The following is a 22,545-nucleotide window of genomic DNA, read 5'->3' on the forward strand; positions in this document are numbered from 1 at the left end:
AGGTCTTGCTCTGCCCCCTAAGCTGGAGTGCAGTGGTGCGATCATGGCTCACAATATCCTTGAACTCCCAACTCAAGCGATCCTCCCACCTCAGCCTCCAGAGTACCTAGGACTATAGGCATGTGACACCACGCCCAGCTAATTTTCTTTTTTAGAGATGGGTTCTCACTGTGTTGCCTAGGCTGGTCTTGAATGCCAGGCCTCAAGTGACCTCCTCCCTCAGCCTCCAAAAGTATTGGGATTACAGGCATGGGCCACCACACCTGGTTCCATTAAGTTTGTTAAAAAGCAGCATCTTACTAGTAATTAATATCAGAATATATGAATTAGAAGTAAAAGATGTATAACTGCACACTTAGGCACACATAAAATCAAACCACGTTTTCTTCTGTTTTGAATATAACTACTGAAAAAATCTATATTTGAATAAATGACATATTCTTCTTTCCTTGTGTTATTAATAGTGGTTCCATGGCATCCCATCGACATATAGTTTTTTTTTCTTCTTTAAAAAAGTATAGAGATGGGATCTCACTATATTGCCCAGGCTCGTCCTGAACTCCTGATCTCAAGAGATCCTCCCACCTCAGCCTTTCAAAGTGCTGGGATTATAGGGATGAGCCACTGCACCCGGCCCCACATATAGATTTTTGAGTATAAGTTTAATTATTGAAATAGTTTTGACTATATGACCTTTAAGTTACCTTTGACTCTTATTCTCTGCCACACTAAATTGGGCTTTATTTACATCAAAGGATTGTGAAAACTAAATAACGTGCAGATATATTTTCATACATGAGAAGACACTCTAAATTATAAAGGCCCACATACGTTAAATAATATTATTTATTAATTATCGGAAAATTGGTTGGAAGAATACCTCCCAGGACCTAGTCTAGTTCTCTCAGCCTCCCCGTTGGTGGCTGTTTTCAACTTGGAGGGAGCTGGGTGGAATCTTTACTTGTCTGGGAATAAACGGGAATAAGGGAACACTTTTTTCCTGTGCTGTGAGGCATCAGTCTGTAGGACACAGTTTAAACAGAGGAGACTCCAGGCCCATAACATATGTAAATGCCTGTGCCAAGGGAGTAAGACCTGATGGAAAACTTTCCTGGAGTGTGGGGCTGCCCCAGCATGGGTCCAAAGGAGGCATTTCCCTACAAGTTTGCTAACTTGGGAAAACTCCCAGCTAAGGGAACCCAAATCAAGTTTGTCTCTTCTGGAATGATACTGGTTTGCGTTCTGTTCAGAGGCCTGCCACCCCAAATTATTGAGATCGTGGAGGGCATTCGATGGCCTGTTTTATCGTGTAGGCTCCATATTAATAACAAGAGGAAGGTGGGTGTGTCCTAGCATCCAAACAAATTATCATTTGTTATTAAATTAGCTAATATTAAAATAAAATTTTAATAAGAATAAATTACTATTATATTATTACTAGTGCTTATTACTATTAAAGCTGCTTTTTATTCTTATTTATTTTTTCTTATACATGTTTTTCAAGTTTCTATGTAATGCTTACATAATAAAATGAAATATTAATGCAAGTTACTTATAAGACATTTAGAAAATGCAGGCAAGTAAAAGGAAGAACATTGAAATTATTTGGAATCCTGCTGCTTGGAGATAAGCATGGCAAACATTTTAGGATCAGATCTTCCAGATCAGGGAGGATTCCTTAAATTCTTTAAACAAAAATGGTCTTATGCTCCACGTACTATAGTCACCCTGTTCTTTTGCTTATAAAAAAATACTGTGAGCATTTTCTTATACTAATAATGTTCTTCATATGTAACATATCAAAAACTGCATATCTAAGGCTTTTCATGCATATTAACTAGTTAGAAAAGTTGAATGTGTCCACACTCTGATCAGTGGTGTAATCCAGTGCCCAGTCCCTCCCTCACTCTCATGTCAGCCTTCCCAACATCAGCAACTATAATAATTGGAAAATCTTGGTCAGTAATGGTATCTAATTATTGTTTTAACTGGTATTTTGTTAATGACTAATAAGATTGGTCATTTTTCCCCAAAAGGTTTATTGAGCAATTGCCTTTGCCAGGATTGCTTCAAGATTCTATAGCAGTAGAGTAGTGAGAGTGGCATCTATGTGGTGGAATGAGTTTTTATATGTAAATGTTTAATATTCAAGTTGTACTATCTCTAAGCTCAGTCTCTTTTAACACATGTATACTCACTAAATCTGCCTTCTTATTCATTAACACATTTACTGATGGTCTACTCTATGGCAAGCCTTGTTCTGGGTGCTGGTAATATAACCAAACAAAATTGACAAAGTGTCTGGTGCATACATTCTAACGGGGAGAGACAAACAACAACAAAGAAAGAAAGAAAAAACAAGGTGAGATATTGCTGTAGTGGAACACAGAACAGAGTATGGGGGTTACAGAGTGTCGGAGTGGGAAGGAGGTGCTGTATATTACTGGGGGATCAAGGAAGACCTCTCTGATGAGATGATATTTGGGCAGAGACCCAGATGAAGCAAAGAATGAGTGGACCATGCAGATGTCTGGAGAAGACCATTCCAGATAGAAGGACCAGAAAGTGCAAAGTCCCTGAGGCAGTAAAGTAGTTGTTTTGATGGGGGAGTGGCTAGAGCAAAATGAGAGGTCTTAGAGACAACAATGCAAGATGAGATCAGAGAAATTGAGGGGTAGTGGAGGGCTGTTCACATAGAATCTTGTAGGCCGTATCCAGGGAGGACTTCAGATGTATTCTGAAGGAGCCCAGAGAGGAGACAAGGAGACCAGTAGGAAGCTACTGCAATGGTCCAGAGAGCAGTCAATAGTGTACATAGATATAAGCCATTTCTCCTTTATAAGCCTGCCCTTCTCTGTCAAGCTGAAGCCATTGCCCACCTCTGGTGCCACCCAATCCCTCTCCTCCTGTGGCCAGATCATGGGTAGATATGAAAGAGGTGGAGTGGGTGCCTCCTATGAGGTCTGTTGGGTGCTAAGAGTCAGTGTGACAGATAACCAAAATATCTAAGAGTGACAAGGCAGGATTAGTGGGTGTCACCCTCAGAAGTCAATTTGACAATCTTGGTCTAGCACTTATGGGTCGAGAAGAACATGCTGGTAATACTAAAGAAAAAGCAAAACAGAGGCACCATAGACTTCAGTAAGAAGCCTAAAAAAGAAGTGGCAGACACAAACATGTAGTGTGTACCAAATCACTTCATATTTAATCTCTGTGATGAAGTACCTGGAAATCTGTAAATGACAGCAAGAAGCAGCTTGACAGGCTGCTGTGTGTTCTACTTGGCAGTTACAAACTAAGTGGAAGGTTTTCTCAAATCTGAGATGTCACTTTTGAATACAAAAGTAAGCAAAGCGGGTTCAAAGTCCAAAGTCCAGGCCTCTATCTTATCCATAAACCAAATCAAAGAGCTATTAAACAAGAAGGGCAGAGAGAATAAATGGCACCATTTATTTAGCACTTTATTGTTCTAGAGTGTAAACTTCATGAGGCTAATGATATTTTACTCACTCCTATGCCCCCAATTTGGGAAACTGTGTGTGCAACACAGTAGGTACTCAATGAACAGTCTTTATATGGATGAATTTTAAATTCCTTTGGGTTATATGTATATTCTTGTAAGCCTAGTGAGGATGAGATTACATTTTATTTCTTCCCATCTTTTTCTCCTCTCCTTATTTCTCTTCCATGTTACTGTAACAGATGCCATCAGCGACCTGCCCGTATCGCCTTGCCCCACCGAGAAGTCAGGCCACAGACAGTTCCTGTATATAGCAGTGCTTCTTTTGGCTTCTGTCTGTAGGTGTTTTCTCACCACAGAAGAGTGCTCAGCCCTCTGGAAGTTCTCTAAAGAGTTAGATCTCCCAGGGGTGATCATCTATCAATGAAGGATGGGAATTGGTAAACAACTATTCCAGATTCCTTGCTTCTCAGTGGAATAATTCTGAGGTGCATTCTACAGTTTCTCAGAAGGAATCGAGCCCTAGTTATTTGCAATGGTTTCTCACTCATTAATGCATCTTTATGGCTTTACTACTTTCCGTATCTGAGGTCATCACTTTATCACTATTTCCTGGGACCACTTCCTAAATAAACTATATACACCCAAATCCTTATATCAGGGGCTGCTTTGGGGGAAACCAAACTAAGACAATTACCTACAATGCTTAGAAAAGCTGTCCATAGGCGGTTCTTGTGATGATTGAGGGAGATAATGCAAATCAAACATTTAGCACAGTGCTCAGGGAGTAAATGCTCAGCTCTCAGCCACCATTGCTGCTGTTGGGGGTGCCCATTAAGTATTTATGCATGATTAATTTTGGGGGAGGAATTTTGAGGAGGAATCAAAACAAAGACCAATGGGTAACCACAATAACAACAATAATGGTGGCAATTTATGAGGAAAGACAGAGGCAAAGATCGATGACAAAGCTAGGAAAAATGGTGTCTATACTAGGTGTTAATCTGAGTGGCACCAATAGCATAAGAAGGAAGACTTCACCCTGGGCACCAATGAGTAGAGCTTCCTGTATTTTCAACAGAATTGATGAAAGCCTCATAGCTAGCTAGAGTATAAAGATATTTACATTCAAATGGCAAGGGCTCTATTAATACAATCCTGGAGAGAAGGGTCAAAAATTTGACTCCCTTTGAAGGAACAGAAAGATTCCATAGGTCTCATTAAAGTGGAGCAAGGTGGTCCAGTCTCAGGTAAGTGTAGATGGAGAACAGGAAAGCAAAGGGAGCTAGAATGCTGAGGTTGAGAAAATCAGAAAAAGGTGAACTGCAGAGCTCTGCACCCAGAAAGAAGCATTTAAATCTTTGCCTTTTTGATATTGTATATTAAATGCTGTGTGAGTGACACTTGTGCTAACTGTATCTGAAAGAGGTCAGAGCTCATAGGGGAATTTTGCCATTAACTCTAAGCAGTGGCAGACCATTGGGATTATACTATAATGTCAACAAAGGTAAATGGTGCTAGTAATTTTTTTCAGGACTGAGGCTTGTGCCTGACAGTGTTTGATTCTGTAGAATGCTCAAAATTGGAAGTCTCTTTGAGGCACAGATAGTGTCCTATTCACTTTTAGATTTCCAGTGTCTCTCATTGTGCCTAGCATGGAGTAGGTGGTCAGTAAACATACGTAGAAGAAGGGAAAAGAAAAACAAAATCAGTGACATCGAGGTAGGAATGGAGAGAGAAGAAGAAATTAGTAAGTCCTCAATAAATGCCATAGTCTATCGCTTCTCGGTCTTTTGGCTAAGATCAAGTGTAATGCCACAGTCTGGGTTGGGTGAGCAGGTACCAGTGGTACCAGGTTGGCTGCTTTTTCCTCCACTCTGCTGGTTGGGGCAAAAATAGACCAGAGGTTCTCACTGATGTGGTTTCTTGTTAAACCACCACTATGATATACAGCTCATCCTGACCTGGTGAAGTTATGTCTTCTCACCTACTTTTTATGAAAGATGGGATTCCACAATTGGAGAGAGGATGTGAAGTAGGACAGGAAAGGAAATGTACATACTCTTGTCCATATGGAAAGGAGGCCTATGGCCAAATTAATCAATAAAACATTTAGGTGTGGAGCCCAGGCTCGAAGGGGCATCCGGAAAACAGGACTATGTGAGAGTTTGGATTCATTCTGACTCCTACGAGGAGACATTCTCCTACTCACTTTGGTCCCTTGGATTCCAAGTGTGTCTTACGGGTAATTACAGCTCATAAAGTGAGTCTCTTGTTTTATCAGTGAGATACTGTTGGTGAAAGTGCAGATACCTAACATGTTAATAAAGTTACCATCACATTTTATTTCTTGAATTTAACTCAATGCCTGAAGCCCATATGAGTTATACTTTGATTCCTGTCATGACCAATCACCTTATGATATTTGACCAAAAGCATGTATATTTTCCCCCATTTTGTTAGTTTTATTTATTTACTTTTTATTTCAATAGTTTTTTGGGGTACAGGTGGTTTTTGGTTACATGGATAAGTTCTTTAGTGGTGATTTCTGAGATTTTAGTGCACCTGTCACCTGAGCACTGTACACTGTACCCAATATATCATCCAAAAGCACAATATATCTCTTGATTGGTGTCCCATCTGAACCAGTGAGCAGAAGGAGAAGAGTGGTTCCTGGACTTTCTTGATGTCTACAAAAGTTCATGAGCAAAAACAGAAACAAAAACCCAGTGATGTCAAGCTCATGTTCTCCCAGTATCAAGGGTGTGGGCTGTGGTGATCACTTCTTCTCTGGGCTTCAGTGTCTTCCTCTTGAAATGAGGTGCTTAGATTATGTAATGTTTGAGGTTCCATCTCAATCTGTTATTCTATGATTCCGATTATATACCAAAATTAGGAGAAAAGTTAGGTGTCAGGTGCTATGGGAGATTGCATTGTTAAGGCTTTTGCCCCAGCTACCTTGCAGAGGAGAGGTTTCAGAAAGTTTTGCATTGTGTCTTTCTGAATCATTCTACTTTTAGTACCTGTGGTAACTGAGTAATTCAATGATTTGTCAATTAACTTTGCTTATGCCCCTTCAGCTGTAAAATCATTTTAATTTCTTTTTAAATTTTGTGTTCATAGGATCAAGAACAATACATTTAGAAAGGCTTACTTACTCTAAGATTATACAAATATTCTCCTATGGAATTTTTCTATAGTTTTTGGATTTATTTTTAAATATCTAAATCCTTAATGCATCTGAAATTTATTTTTGCAAATGGTGTGAGTCAGGAAATGTAACAAATTTTCTTTCCAACTTGGCCCACTATTTCTTGGCTATTTGATAATTTATCCTTTTCCCCACTGATTTGAAATACTATTTTTATCCTATACAAATTCTCATAAAAATGTGACTCTTTTAATTTCTATTTTCTTAATATTAAATTTGTAGTGGATAATGTCGGTATACCTCCTAGATCTCTTAGATCCCTTTTAATGTTTGTTTTGGAGTACTTTGGACAGAGGTGTTTGTGAGTTTTGTACCTCTTAAGGTATAATCCCAATGGTCTGCCACTGCTTAGAGTTGTTGACACCTCTCTGTTTCTCTCTCTTCTTCCCTCTCCAAATTTAACCAGTCCCAAAAGGGTTGGGCATTTAAATTGTTTTTAGTGTTTGTCTGTAAAAAAAAATGCTGCAATAAACATATTCACGGCATACTTTTGGATATTTCACTCACATATATTTCTGGAATAAATTCCTAGCAATGGCACAGCCAAACTTCCTGCAGTTTTTTTTTTTACACTATCACATATTGTAATTAACAGTGACTATTTTTTTTTTGGCAGCTTCTCCAACATTGGTTTTATAAAAACTAGCATTTTTTGACAAGTTGGAGGATTTATAGTCTATTATAGCTTATTTATAGTTCTTTTAGTATATGCTGGTATCATGGAGTTAGTTAATTCTCCAATGAAATTCATGCTTTCCTTTTCTTCTGAATTATTCCTTAGATGTGGCTGGCCAGGGAGGCCTATTTTCTACCCCACTCCCTCACCCTTTTTGTGTCTAGATGCAGCCAGATGTCTAGTTCTTGCTAGGGGATTATGAATTAAAGTGATGAATGACATTTACCAACTAAGACTTTCAAGAAATAGTGTGCTTTTTCTCATTTCTTTCTCCTTCTGCTGGTAGGATGCAGAAGAAGATCAACCTAGGACTGGCAGGGTCACAGGATGGAAAGGGCCTGGGTACCCAAATCACCACCTGGAGGAAAGCCACTTACCAACCCAGAATACTCACCTTCTACTGTTACATAAATAAGAAACAAATATTATATTAAGCCACTGAAATTTGAAAGTTTATTTGCTTTAGGTGCCAACATTACTCTTATGAATATAGGTTACTTTGTAAATTAATATAACCTACTTAAAATTTGTTTCTTTTTTTTTTTTTTTTTGAGACGGAGTCTTGCTCTGTCACCCAGGCTGGAGTGCAGTGGCGCGATCTCGGTTCACTGCAAGCTCCACCTCCCAGGTTCACGCCATTCTCCTGCCTCAGCCTCCAAAGTAGCTGGGACTACAGGCACCCGCCACCACGCCCGGCTAATTTTTTGTATTTTTAGTAGAGATGGGGTTTCACCGTGTTAGCCAGGATGGTCTCGATCTCCTGACCTCATGATTCACCCGTCTCAGCCTCCCAAAGTGCTGGGATTACAGGTGTGAGCCACCATGCCCGGCCTAAAATTTGTTTCTTGATTTATTATTTTGAACATTTATTTTTCACCCCACTATGAATGATGAGTGAATTGGTACACTTATGTTCCTCTTACCTCCCTAACCTTACCATCTCTCTATTTTTATCAGTATTCTTGTCATTTTCAGGTCTACTATTGATTTATACTTATAGTAGATTTATATTCTTACCTTATACTTTAAAATAATAATATATAGATTGATTTCTTGATTTTATTAGAGAGTATCACTTAACTCTGTGATATAAAATACTTGTTTTATACTTGTACTTCTTCTACCTCTATTTTCTTTTTTTGCTTTCTTATTTTAGCTAATTATATTTTACTTTTACTTTGCTAAAGCTTAAAACTTTTTTAAATTCTGTTCTATAATATTTATTCCCATAATGAGGTTTATCCTTCTTTTACTGGATTCAAAATTATGGCCAATTATTCAGTTTTTATTTTCCTAATTTTGTTAATTTAATTCAACCCTTTGTTATCTGAATTTTGTCATCAAATCGTTTTTGCACATTGGAGAAATTCTGTCTCTTGCTGCTAATTTTGAATGACATCATTGTAATGAAGAATTCTGAAGGCAGTTTTATTTTTCTTTCTTATATTCCATCACTTTTTTTTATGCATGCATTTATGAACTTTTAAAAATATAAGTGACTTCAACAGCAGGCCCAGTGGCTTACACCTCAGTACTTTGGGAGGCCAAGGTGGGTGGATTGCTTAAGCTCAGGAATTAAAGACCAGCCTGGATAACATGGCGAAATCCCATCTATACAAAAAATACAAAAATTAGCCAGGTGTGGTGGTGTGCACCTGTAGTCCCAGCTACTAGGGAGGCTGATTTGGGAGGATTGCTTGAGTCCAGGAAGTTGAGGCTGCAGTGAGCCATGAGCATGCCACTGCACTCCAACCTGGGTGACAGAGGGAGACCCTGTCTCAAAAAAAAAAAAAAAAAAAAGTGACTTCAGCAGTCTATGTCTCTCCCTCCCTCACTTTCTTTTTTTAATATTAAATTTTCTGAAATTTCTTGTCCCTTAATTTAAGTCTTCCATCATTTTGGGAATAACTTCTTACATAAATATTTTTCAATTCCATTAGTTGTAGTCTCTTTTTCATGAAGCAAATTGTATGTACGGTTCACCCTTCATATCCATTTATGCAATTCAACCAACTGCAGATCAAAATATTTGGAAAAAAACAACAATAAAACAATAAATAATAATACAAATAAAAACCAATACAGTATGACAAGTATTAATATTTACATAGCATTTATGTTGCATTCAGTATTCTAAGTGATCTAGAGATGATTTAAAGTATACAGGATGATATGTGTGGGTTGCACATACTATGCACATACTATACCATTTTATATAAAGGACTTGAGCATCTGTGGATTTGGGTATCCATGGAGGAAAATGGTCCCTGAAACCAATACCCTGCAGATACTGAGGAAAAGAAACAAAAGTCAAATGGTTTTACTTTGCCATAATACCTTAGAAGTTGTTGACTTCTTTCTTAATTTTTTTTAGAAAATCATTCTTGGTAAAGATTTTCCTCTGGAATGTTTTGTTCTTATCTAAAAATGTCACCTTTAATAGCATAGCGCACACAAGTCATCAATCTTAATTATGGCTCCATTTCAGAAAACCAAGAATGCAGCTGGGCGCAATAGCTGATGCCTGTAATCTCAACACTTTGGGAGGCCAAGGCAGGTGGATTGTTTGGGTCCAGGAGTCCGCGACCAGCCTGGGCAACATGGCAAAACCCTGTCTTTACAAAAAATACAAAAAGTTAGCTAGGCACGATGGTTGTGCCTGTAGTTCCAGATAGGAGGCTGAAGTGGGAGCATTACCTGAGCCCGGGGCTCAAGGCTGTAGAGAGCTATGATCATGCCACTACACTCCAGCCTGGGGGATAGAGCGAGACCCTATCCCACCCCCCCCCAAAAAAAGAAAACCAACAAAGCAAAGCAAAACTGAGGTTCCAGTCCATCATTCCTGAAGAAGGAGCCAAGGGCAGCTTTGAATGCTGTAAATCATGCTGTAAAACTCATTGGCAGGTGTTGAAAAAATCCAGTGGGTTTTGGATCAAATTCTGCACTATGAGAGTTCATTATTCCCTCTGGTGAATAAGTGCATTCATTGATAAACCTGGCAAAATTTGGAACAAAACCAATTTAAAGTGCCATATAAAAATTTGTTCATTTGATAACCTTAAAGTGATTTCAGTTCTGTTTTACATTAGTCATCAAAGATAAGAGCAAAATTGTATTTATGATGGCAGTGGCTTTCAGTATCTTGTATAAGAAAGGGGCTGTTAAGACTGCCACCAAGGAATGATGATTTCAAAGTTCTCATTATGTACTTCAAACTTTCCAACACAGTTGTTATTATTGCTATAGTAAAGAGAAACAAGAATCCAAACATTTCCTCTTTTTCCTCCTGATCAACATCTTCATCCTTTCCTTCCTTGTCACCCTCCAGGTCACAGGGGTCATCCATCTTTCCTTCTATGTGACTGGTTTGCTCTTGCATATCATGTTTTCCGGTAAGATTGACTTGGAGGTTATTTCTGAGGGGATTTTTAATATTTGCAAGTGATATTTCCATAGATTAATAACAATCTGACTTTTAAAAAGTTTTAAAGAAATCTTAGCTAGATCTCCCCACTTCACCTCCTCTTAACTTTTTCCCCTTTTTAAAAGCCTATATAAAAAAATGAATAGTGAGAACCTCCCACTAGCAACCCACATATTTTCCCTCCAAATGGGCTGCTCATCTTTTGAGGCAGTTTTTCACATGGTTTTGGCTTTCACACTTTTGGTCGTCTGTCATGTTTTGTTTACTAGAACAGGTGTAGATTTAGTTCTATCTTTACAAAGCATGTACAATGGAGAGGAAAATACAAGACTTTGCTTTATAGAAATGAAAGAGGAGGAATGAAGCCTTAGGCATACAAATAATAAACTGGAAGCCTGGAGTTAGTTTTCCTTATGCTGTCCTGACCTCTTTGATGAGTCCAGGTTTTTGTTTAGTGCCCCTGGGAAGGATCCATGTGATCGTAATTTTCGGGGAGAAGATCATCCAGCGTCTAGTGTTGTGTCTTTACTTTAGCTGTGTCTCAGTGGGAACCTAGTAATTTAAAAAAATCCATGTCAAGTCTCGGGAGGCTGAGCTGGGAGGATCACTTGAGCTGGCGAGGTGGAGGCTGCAGTGAGCCAGATTGTGCCACTGTACTCCAGCCTGGGTGACAGAGCAACACCTTTTCTCAAAATAAATAAATAAACAAATAAAAGAAAAAAATCCATGTCATTGGAGTTTTCTCCAAGTTGTTCTCTTTGTGTAACATCTAAGATGGAAGCCTCAATCCTACCACTGCCACTCCTCCAATTCACAGCCGAGTATTCTGCAACTTCGAGCTCGTAAGGACCAGTGTACTAATGGCAGCAGAACATTCAAACTCAGTAGAATGCTGCCCAGTACTGTGGCTATGGGGGCTGTGGTAGTCAACAGAAGAGGCAGTGGCTCCCAGGGAGTGTGATGGTGCAAAAGAGGAGAGTAGTTGGGGAAAAGGCAGACTGCAGATGAGCTTGCATGGGAGCCCTCTTCAAAGTACCATAGAGGAGGGATTTTTACAGGCACCTGGGGTATGCATTAGCAGGAGCTAGTAGAGAAGGGAATGGAGAGCCAGCAAACATGTGTTATGATATCTTCTGAGAATGATATCTTACCAGATTTATTTAATATTTCCCTCTCTATTGTCAGTGAAAATGTAATGGTATAAGGGGAGAGTTGATGGAAGAGTGCTTACAGATTTTGGTACTTTGGTTATCTTTGTAGTAAAATTTCCTAAACTCACAAGTAATTCATGTTCTCAACATAAAGATAACAATGAAAGAGTCTTACACTCCTGTGAGGCTCTCTCCTTTTCAGAGGGCCCCCTATAGATGCCCCTCATGCACAGTATTTCAGTGAGGTTGACAGACCATGTATTTACTTCCACTTTGACAGGGGCAACCTGAACCTTCGAGATGTGGAAGTATTTCCAAGAGTGAGGCAGCTAAGAAATGGAGGGACTAATAAACCCAGTTATTCTAACTCCAAGATCATACTCTTTCTACCAAATCATGCTCATTATATTAATTTTTTAAAATAACAAAAATGGCTTACATTAATTTTTTATAAATTTATATGAAATATACCACTGGGCTAAGCTGATTTCTATAGTTTCTATAATGTAAATAGAATAATGATACTATGTAGTAATGCATTATGCAATTTTCAAAGCACAGCAAATTTTAAATAGCATAAGAAGTTAACAGGCAAGTTATTGTTACCTGTATTTGACATAGAAGGAAACTGAGGAAAAAGGAAGTTAAATAACGTCTCAAATCTTCTGATTCCCTGTCATCATCTAAGAGTAGATTGCTTCTTAAAATTCTTCACATCATCACATAAGTAACCTTTATAACTATGATATAGCCACATTTGTATATTTACTGTCATGTTCCTAAATTTAACTCATGATTTTTCTTCCTTCATATGCTTCGTATATTGTCCTGGGCTCTCTTTTCAGGGCATTTATGGTTAACTCTGAAGCAAAGTTGCTTCCATCTGTAATTAAATAGTTCATTGATTTTCTTGGAAGCAAAATAAGATCATCTCAACAACCACATGCAAACATCCCTCTTTACCTCCCTCCCAAACCCAGCCTTTAAAAAAAAGCATGAAGCTTGTCAAAAATGTCACCTTTTATATTGGCTATGTATTAGAAAAACAAAAACAAAAATTGATTTGAAAATAATTGAGGTGTGTGGATGTCAGAGGTGTTGCCTGCTGTGCTAACTGCCTTGCTGAGACTGATTCTTGGTATCTGTTGGCCTCCTTGAGATAGCTACTGGGCTTGCACCTTCACCAAAGGAGACATAATAAAAAGTTTGCAGATATTTAAGAAGGAAAAGAAAAACAGCCTTTTTTTTTCTTTCCTATAGCAGTCAGGAAGGACTATATATTGTATATATTGCTATATATATATATATAGCAAATCAACTGGGAGAAACCACCTTCAGCATTGAGTCTGAAGCACATCCCTCCAGAATGCTAAGTTCCTTTCTCTTCAGCATCAAAAGCCAGAACACTCTTCTTGGATCCCAATCACTGAAAGAAGCTTTTCTAAAAAGAAGTAATTATGTATCGAACTCTCTACTGAAGAGAATAATTATGTAGAATAATTAAAGGGGATATTTTAGAAATTTTTCCCACTTTTTGATGTCTACTGCTCCATGGAGAAAGTTAATGTAATTCAAAGATTAGCTAAAAATTTGGCAGGAAATAGGGGGAGCTAAAACCATTGTGATGTGGATGACTGGGATGTAGACTCAGAGAGCCTTTCAATGTGTGGAGGCTTCATCCCTAAAACTGTAAAATAGGAATATGGAGAGGACAGTAGTAGTTACCTGGGGATAATAATTCATATGTAAAATCTTTGAACATTCATTGAACTGTTGTCCTCCTTCCAGTTTCAAGGAGAGGAGCCTTAGCATATGTAGCACCTGCCATATCAGGGAATGGCTATTTAGTATTGAGAATACATGGAGGTGCATTTTAAAGTCAGATGGTATTTATTTCAACTCACAATCTCTACTTTTTACTTGTACTTGGATGTGATTAGACTAGGGAGGAGGAGGAAGAAGGACTACTTAACTGAAGTTATCAAATATAAGGCTTTCCCACAGAATAACTGTAGATGTGATGGTTATGTCAGTCATGACCATTTTGGTTGACCAGAACATCAGAGACAAACCATATCATTCTGCACCAGCCCCTCCCAAATCTCATGTATTTTCATATTTCAAAACCAATCATGACTTCCCAACATTCCCCCAAAGTCTTAACTCATTTCAGCATTAATGCAAAAGTCCATAGTCCAAAGTCTCATCTGAGACAAGGCAAGTTTCCTCTGCCTGGGAACCAGTAAAATCAAAAACAAGTTAGTTACTTCCAAGATGCAATAGGGGTACAGTCATGGTATAAATACTCCCATTCTAAATGGGAGAAATTGGCCCAAACAAAGGGGCTACAGGTCCTATGCAAATCCAAAATCTAGCAGGGCAGTCATTAAATTTTAAAGCTCTAAAATGACCTCCTTTGACTCCCTGTCTCAGGGAGTCAGCTCCCAGTGGATCTACCAGCTCTCAGTGGATCTACCATTCTGGAGTCTGGAGAATGGAGGCCCTCTTCTCACAGTTCCACTAGGCAATGGCCCAGTGAATACTCTGGGTGTGGGTTCCAAACACACACTTCTCTTCCACACTGCCCTAGCAGAGGTTCTTCATGAGGGCTTCACCCCTGAAGACTTCTGCCTGGACATCCAGGCATTTCCATACATCCTCTGAAATCTAGGTGGAGGTTCCCAAACCTCAGTTTTTGACTTCTGTGCATCTTCAGGCCCAACACCACATGGAAACCGCCAAGGCTTGGGGCTTTCATCCTCCGAAGCAATGGCCCAAGCTGTACCTTGGCTCCTTTTAGCAATGGCTGGAGTTGGAGTGGCTGGGACACAGGGCACCAAGTCCCTGGGCCTGGCTCACAAAATCATTTTTTACTCCTAGGCCTCTGGGCCTCTGATGGGGTGAATGCTGTCAAGATCTCTGACATGCCCTGGAGACATTTTCCTCATTGGCTTGGTGATTAACATTGGCTTCTTGTTATTTATGTAAATTTTTGCACCTGGCTTGAATTTCTCCCCAGAAAATAGGTTTTTTCTTTTCTTTTCTTTTCTTTTTTTTTTTTTTTTAGATGGAATATCTCTCTGTTGCCCAGGCTGGAGTGTAGTGGTGTGATCTCAGTTCACTGCAAGCTCTGCCTCCCAGGTTCACGCCATTCTCCTGCCTCAGCCTCCCAGGTAGCTGGGACTACAGGCGCCCGCCACCATGCCCAGCTAACTTTTTGTATTTTTTTAGTAGAGATGGGGTTTTACCATGTTAGCCAGGATGGTTTCAATCTCCTGACCTCGTGATCCACCCGCCTCAGCCTCCCAAAGTGCTGGGATTACAGGCATGAGCCACTGCGCCTGGCTAGGTTTTTTCTTTTCTATCACATTGTCAGGCTGCAAATTTTTCAAACTTTTATGCTCTACTTCCCTTTTAAACATAAATTCCAATTTAAAATCACCTCTCTCAAGTTCAAAGTTCCATTAGAGCAGGGGCAAAATGCCACCTGTCTCTTTGCTAAAGCATAGCAAAAGTTACCTTTGCTCTAGTTCCCAAGAAGTTCCTCATCTCCATCTGAGACCACCTCAGCCTGGTCTTCATTGTTCATATCATTATCAGCATTTTAATCAAAACCATTCAACAAATCTCTAGGAAGTTCCAAATTTTCCCACATCTTCTTATCTTCTTCTGAGCCCTCCAAATTGTTCCAACCTCTGCCTGTTACCCAGTTCCAAAGTCACTTCCACATTTTCTGTATCTTAATGGCAGTGTCCCACTCCCAGTGCCAATTAACCTCATTAGTCCATTTTCACACTGCTATAAAGAAATTTATCTGAGATTGGGTAATTTATAAAAAAAAATTTATAAAATTTACTCACAGTTCCACATGGCTGGGGAGACCTCAATAAATTTACAATCATGGCAGAAAGGGAAGCAGGCACCTTCTTCACATGGAAGGAGGAGAGAGAATGTGTGAAGGAGAAACTGTCAAACACTTATAAAACTATTAGATCTCAGGGGGACTATCATGAGAACAACATGGGGGAAACCTCTCCCCATGATCCACTCACCTTCTTCCCTTGGCACATGGGGATTACAGGTCCCTCTCTGGACATGTGGGGATTACAATTTGAGATAAGATTTGGGAGGGGACACAGAGCCAAACCATATCACCCAGTAAGATACTCCATGAGAAGATCAACCCCAAGATACACAATCATCAGATTCTCCAAGGTTGAAATGAAAGAAAAAATGTTAAGGGCAGTCAGAGAAAAAGGACAGGTAACCTACTAAAGGAAGCCCATCAGACTAACAGTGGACCTCTCAGTAGAAACCCTGCAAGCCAGAGGAGATTGAGGACAAATACTCAACATTCTAAAAGAAAAGAATTTCAAACCCAAAATTTCATATCCAGCCAAACTAAGCTTCATAAGTGAAGGATAAATGAAATCCTTTACAGACAAGCAAATGCTGAAGGAATTTATCACCACCAGGCCTCCCTTGCAAGAGCTCCTGAAGGAAGTACTAAATAAGGAAAGAAAAATCTGTTGCCAGCCACTATAAAAACTCCATGAAGTACATAGACCAGTGACACTATGAAGCAACCATATAAACAAGTCTGTGAAATAACCACCTGCCATCATGATGACAGGATCAGATTTACACATGACAATACTAACCTTAAATGTAAATGGGATAAATGCCCCAATTAAAAGACACAGAATAGCAAGCTGGATAAAGAGCCAAAACTTATCAGTATGCTGTCTTCAAGAGACCCATCTCACATGCAAAGACACATACAGACTCAAAATAAAGGGATGGAGGAAAATTTACCAAGCAAATGGAAAACAGAAAAAAGCATGGGTTGCAGCCAGACATGGTGGCTCACACCTGTAACCCCAGCACTTTGGGAGGCCAAGGCGGATGGATCATTTGAGGTCAGGAGTTCGAGACCAGCCCGGACAACATGGTGAAACCCTGTCTCTACTAAAAATACAAAAATTAGTCAGGTGGTAGAGGTGCATGCCTGTAATCCCAGCTACTCAGGAGGCTGAGGCAGAAGAATCGCTTGAACCTAGGAGGTAGAGGGTGTGGTGAGTCGAGATTGCACCACTGCACTCTAGCCTGGGTGAGAGAGTGAGAGCCTGTGACACACACACACACACACACAGACACACAAAAGCACAGGTTGCAATCCTAGTTTCCGACAAAACAAGCTTTAAGCCAACAAAGGTCAAAAAAGACAAAGAAGGGCATTACATAATGGTAAAGTGCTCAACAAGAAGAATTAACTATCCTTAATATATATGCATGCAATGCAGGAAGACCCAGATTCATAAAGCAAGTTCTTAGAAACCTACAAAGAAACTTAGACTTCCATGCAATAATATTGGAAGATTTTAACACTTCACTGACAATATTAGACAGATCTTTGAGACAGAAAATTAATAATGATATTGAGGACCAGAACTCAGCTCTGCATCAAGTGCAACTGATAGATATCTACAGAACTCTCCAGCCAAAAACAACAGAATATACATTCTTCTCATCACCACATGGCACTTAATCTAGAATTGATCTCATAATCAGAAGTGAAACACTCCTCAGCAAATGCAAAAGGACTGAAATCATAACAAACAGTCTCTCAGGCCACAGAGCAATGAAATTAGAACTCAAGACTAGGAAATTCACTCAAAACCACACAACTAATGGAAATTGAATAACTTGCTCCTAAATGACTCTTGGGTAAACAGTGAAATCAAGGCAGAAATCAAGAAGTTCTTTGAAACTAATGAAAACAGAGACAACATACCAGAATCTCTGGGATGCAGCTAAAGCAGGTTAAGAGGGAAACTGATAGCACTAAATACCCACATCAAAAAGCTAGAAAGATCTCAAGTTAACAACCTAACGTTATATCCAAAACAAACAAACAAACAAACAAAAAAACTAGAGAACCAAGAGCAAACAAACCCCAAATCTAGCAGAAGACAAGAAATAACAAGATCAGAGCTGAAATGGAGACAGAGACATAAAAAAACTCTTCAAAAATCAACAAATCCAAGAGCTGATTTTTTGAAAAAAAAAAGTAATAAAATAGTAGACTGCCAGTTAGAGTAATAAAGAAGAAAAGAGAGAAGAATCAAACAACACAATCAGAAATGATAAAGGGGATATCACCATTGACCCCACAGAAATACAAACAACCATCAGAGATGACTATAAACACCTCTATGCACATAAACTAGAAAATCTAGAAGAAATGGATAAATTCCTGGATACATACACCCTCCCAAGACTGAACCAAGGAGAAATTGAATCCCTGAATAGACCAATAATGAGTTCTGAAATTGAGGCAGTAATAAATAGCCTAACAACCAAAAAGCCTAGAACCAGAAAGATTCACAGCTGAATTTAACCAGAGGTACAAAGAACAGCTGGTACCATTTCTACTGAAACTATTACAAAAAAAGGAAAAGGATAGATTTCTCCCTAACTCATTCTATGAGGCCAGTATCATCCTGATACCAAAACCTGGCAGAGATAAAACAAAAAATGAAAACTTCAGGCCAATATCGTTGATGAACATCAATGTAAAAATTCTCAATAAAATACTGGCAAACCAAATCCAGCGGCACATCAAAAAGTTTAACCACCATGATCAAGTTGGCTTCATCTCCAGGATGCAAGGTTAGGTCAACATAAGCAAATCAATAAATGTGATTCATCACATAAACAGAACTAAAGACGAAAACCACATGATTATCTCAATAGGTGCAGAAAAGGCCTTCAATAAAATTAAACACCCCTTCGTGTTAAAAACTCTCCATAAACTAGGTATTGAAGGAACATCCCTCAAAATAATAAGAGCCATATATGACAAACCCATAGCCAATATCATAGTGAATGGGCAAAAGCTGGAAGCATTCCTTTTGAAAACCGGCACATGACAAGGATGTCTTCTCTCACCACTCCTATTCAACACAGTATTGGAAGTTCTGGCCAGGATAATCAGACAAGAGAAAGAAATAAAGTGAATTCAAATAGGAAGAGAGGAAGTCAAATTATCTTTGTTTGCAGAAGACATTTTCCTATATCTAGAAAACCCTGTTGTCTCAGCCCAAAAGCTTCTTAAGCTGATAAGCAACTTCAGCAGTCTCAGCATACAAAATCAATGTGCAAAAATTGCTAGCATTCCTACACACCAACAACAGGCAGAGAGCCAAATCATGAATGAACTCCCATTCACAATTGCTACAAAGAGAATAAAATACCTAGGAATTTAGCTAACAAGGGAAGTAAAGGATCCTTTAAAGAGAACTATAAACCATTGCTCAAAGAAATCACAGAAAACACAAGCAAATGGAAAAACATTTCATGCTCATAAATAGGAAGAATCAATATCATGAAAATGGCCAAACTGCCCAAAGTAATTGATAGATTCAATGTCATTCCTATTCAACTACCATTGGCATTCTTTATAGAATTAGAAAGAAGAGTTTTAAATTCATATGGAAGCAAGAGCCCAAATAGCCAAGATAATCCTAAGCAAAAAGAACGAGGCATCATGCTACTCAACTTCAAACTATACTACAAGGCTACAGTAACCAAAACAGCATGATACTGGTACAAGGACAGGCATACAGACCAGTGGAACAGAATAGAGAACTCAGAAATAAGACCACAGACCTACAACCATTTGATCCTTGACAAAGCTCACAAAAACAAGCAATGAGGAAAGGATTCCTTATTTAATAAATGATGCTGGGATAACTGGCTAGCCATATGAAGAAAATTGAAACTGGACCCCTTCCTTTTACCTTATACAAAAATTAACTCAAGATGGATTAAAGACTTAAATGTAAAACCCAAAACTATAAAAACCCTAGAAGAAAATCTAGGCAATACCATTCAGGACATAGGCATGGGCAAAAATTTCATGACAAAAATGCCAAAAGCAATTGCAACAAAAGCAAAAATTGATAAATGGGATTTAATTAAACTAAAGAGCTTCTGCATAGCAAAAGAAACTATTATCAGAGTGAAGAGAAAACCTACAGAATGGGAGAAAGTTTTTGCAATCTATCCATCTGACAAAGGTTTAATATCCAGAATCTATGAGGAACTTAAACAAATTAACAAGAAAAAAATAAACAACCCCATTAAAAAGTGGTCAAAGAACATGAACAGACACTTCTCAAAAGAAGACATACATGCAGCCAACAAACATGAAACAAAGCTCAACATCACTGATTATTAGAAAAACGCAAATCAAAACCACAATGAGATACCATCTCACACCATTCAGAATGTCTACTATTACAATGTCAAAAAACAATAGATGCTTGCAAGGTTGCAGAGAAAGGAATGCTTTTACACTGTTGGTGGGAGTGTAAATCAGTTCAACCACTGTGGAAGACAGTGTGGTGATTCCTCAGAGACCTAGAGGCAGAAATACTATTTGACCCAGCAATCCCATTACTGGGTATATACCCAAAGAAATATAAATCATTCTGTTATAAAGATCCATGCATGTGTATGCTCATTGCAGCACTATTCACAATGGTAAAGACATAGAATCAACTTAAATGCCCATCAATGATAGACTGGATAAAGAAATTGTGAGATATATACATACATATATATATATGTATGTATATATCTCCAATGGAATACTATGCAGCCATATAAAGGAATGAGATCATGTCTTTTGCAGGGACATGGATAGAGTTGGAAGCCATTATCCTCAGCAAACTAATGCAGGAACAGAAAACCAAACATCACATGTTCTCATTTATAAGTGGGAGCTGAATGATTAGAACACATGGCCACATAGTTGGGGAACAACACACACTTGGGCCTGTCAGAGCAGGGTTGTGGGGAGGAAGAGCATCAGGAATAATAGCTAAGGGATGCTGGGCTTAATACCTAGGTGATGGTATGATCTGTCCAGGAAACCACCATGGCACATGTTTACCTATATAACAAACCTGCACATCCTGCACATGTACCCCTGAGCTTAAACTAGAAGTTAATAAAATAATATGAACATTTCAACCATAGAGCAGGGTAGGAAATAAGGAAATAAATAAATGGCAAGACAGTGTGGACTCCAGAGCCCATCAGTGGCCTATCAATCATGAGTCTACCACTTTTTAGCTCTGTGATCTTGGGTAAGTTACTTAGCCTGTTACCACATCTCAAAAATAAAGATAAGGACTATACTTATCTCACTGGTTTATTGCGAAGATTAAAAAATTGCCTACCAAATACTTAATACATTATCTGGCAAACAATATGTGCTCAATAAAATATATGCATTATTATTATGGGTAACTTTACTGTTCTCTCAGACTATAAGACCCAAACTCTCAAATTCCAAATTTATTTGTGATGGCTCCTTTTTTTTGGCACTATCTTTGCCCACCAGCCAGTAAATAGTTAAATTATTTAAATTCCATGATCTCAACCCTTTATCTCCTTTTCTAATACCTCCTCTGAAATGCAGCTCCTCATGACTTTCCTCCTAGCAACAGAAAATCTTTTCTAATTGCCTTTGTAGCTCTGAGCACATCATTTCTTTTTAAGGATTGTCTATTGCAACTATTTTATTTAATTTCATTTTATTTTTGGAGACAGGGTCTTACTCTGTCAACTGTGTTGGAGTGCAGGGGGGGCAATCATGACTCACTGCATCGACCTCCAAAGCTCAAGTGATCCTCCCACCTTAGCCTCCTGAGTAGCTGAGACTCCAGGTGTGCACTACCAAACCTGGTACAATTTTTTAAATTTTTTTTGTAGAGACGAGGGTCTTGCTATGTTGCCCAGGATGGTCTGGAACTCTGGGGCTCAAGCAATCCTCCCGCCTCAACCTCTTAAAGTGCTGGGGTTACAGGTGTGAGACACTGTGCCCTACCGCACATTATTTCTATATTTAAGATCTGCCCTTACATGACATTGCAATAGATTATAATTTTGGTCATAATTCTTCACTCCCCTGTGATAGGATTGTACATTCATACCTTTGTCTGGTAACTTTGCTGTGCCCTCCTGCTGGGTTTGTTTCCTCACCCCATGTGACTTGCTTTGGCAATGAAATATGAGTAGATGTTGCAAGAGCAAAGGTCTTACCTGTGTTTTTTTATGATTTGGCTCAGCTCTTATGCTCCAGATCCATCATGAGAAGAACATGCCCTGGATTCCTGCTATCCCTTTAGCCATGGCTCCAAAATTAACACACACAAGGAAGACCTGAGGTCAATCCACAGCCTGGATTCAAGTCACCTAATACATAGGAGAATCAGAGCTACCCAGCCACACTCAATCTACGTTAACTGAACCTCAGCTGACCTGCAGATTTATGAGTATGAGAATAAAGGCTTGTTAATGTATATCATTAAGTTTTGTGGTGCTTACTATACATCATAATTGTGTTGATACCTGACTAGCACAGATTACTTTTCCAGCTTCACCTCTGACCATACTCTTGTAAATATGCTATAGTCCAGCTAATTATAACAACTTGATGACCTCTCCCTGTGCCCTTGGCTTTTCTACCTTTGGTATCCTGGTCCTCCTCTCCGTCTTCACATGAATATATGTAGCTGGTAGTTATTGGTTCTGGGCTAAGTAATCATGGGC

The 22,545-nt window shown here is 38.9% G+C and overlaps 1 long non-coding RNA gene across 1 annotated transcript in view; it reads left to right on the plus strand.

The window, feature by feature from the left end:
• Nucleotides 1-22,300, plus strand: part of LINC01980 (long intergenic non-protein coding RNA 1980) — a 62,738-nt gene extending 40,438 nt beyond the window's left edge. The window contains exons 4-5 of the long non-coding RNA NR_146630.1: nt 10,676-10,739; nt 22,062-22,300. This is a non-coding gene — a long non-coding RNA (long intergenic non-protein coding RNA 1980). The remainder of the gene's footprint in view (nt 1-10,675; nt 10,740-22,061) is intronic.
• The last annotated feature ends 245 nt before the right edge of the window (nt 22,301-22,545 follow it).

This window comes from Homo sapiens, chromosome 3 (assembly GCF_000001405.40).
Source record: "Homo sapiens chromosome 3, GRCh38.p14 Primary Assembly".
Classification (NCBI taxonomy): Eukaryota; Metazoa; Chordata; class Mammalia; order Primates; family Hominidae; genus Homo; species Homo sapiens.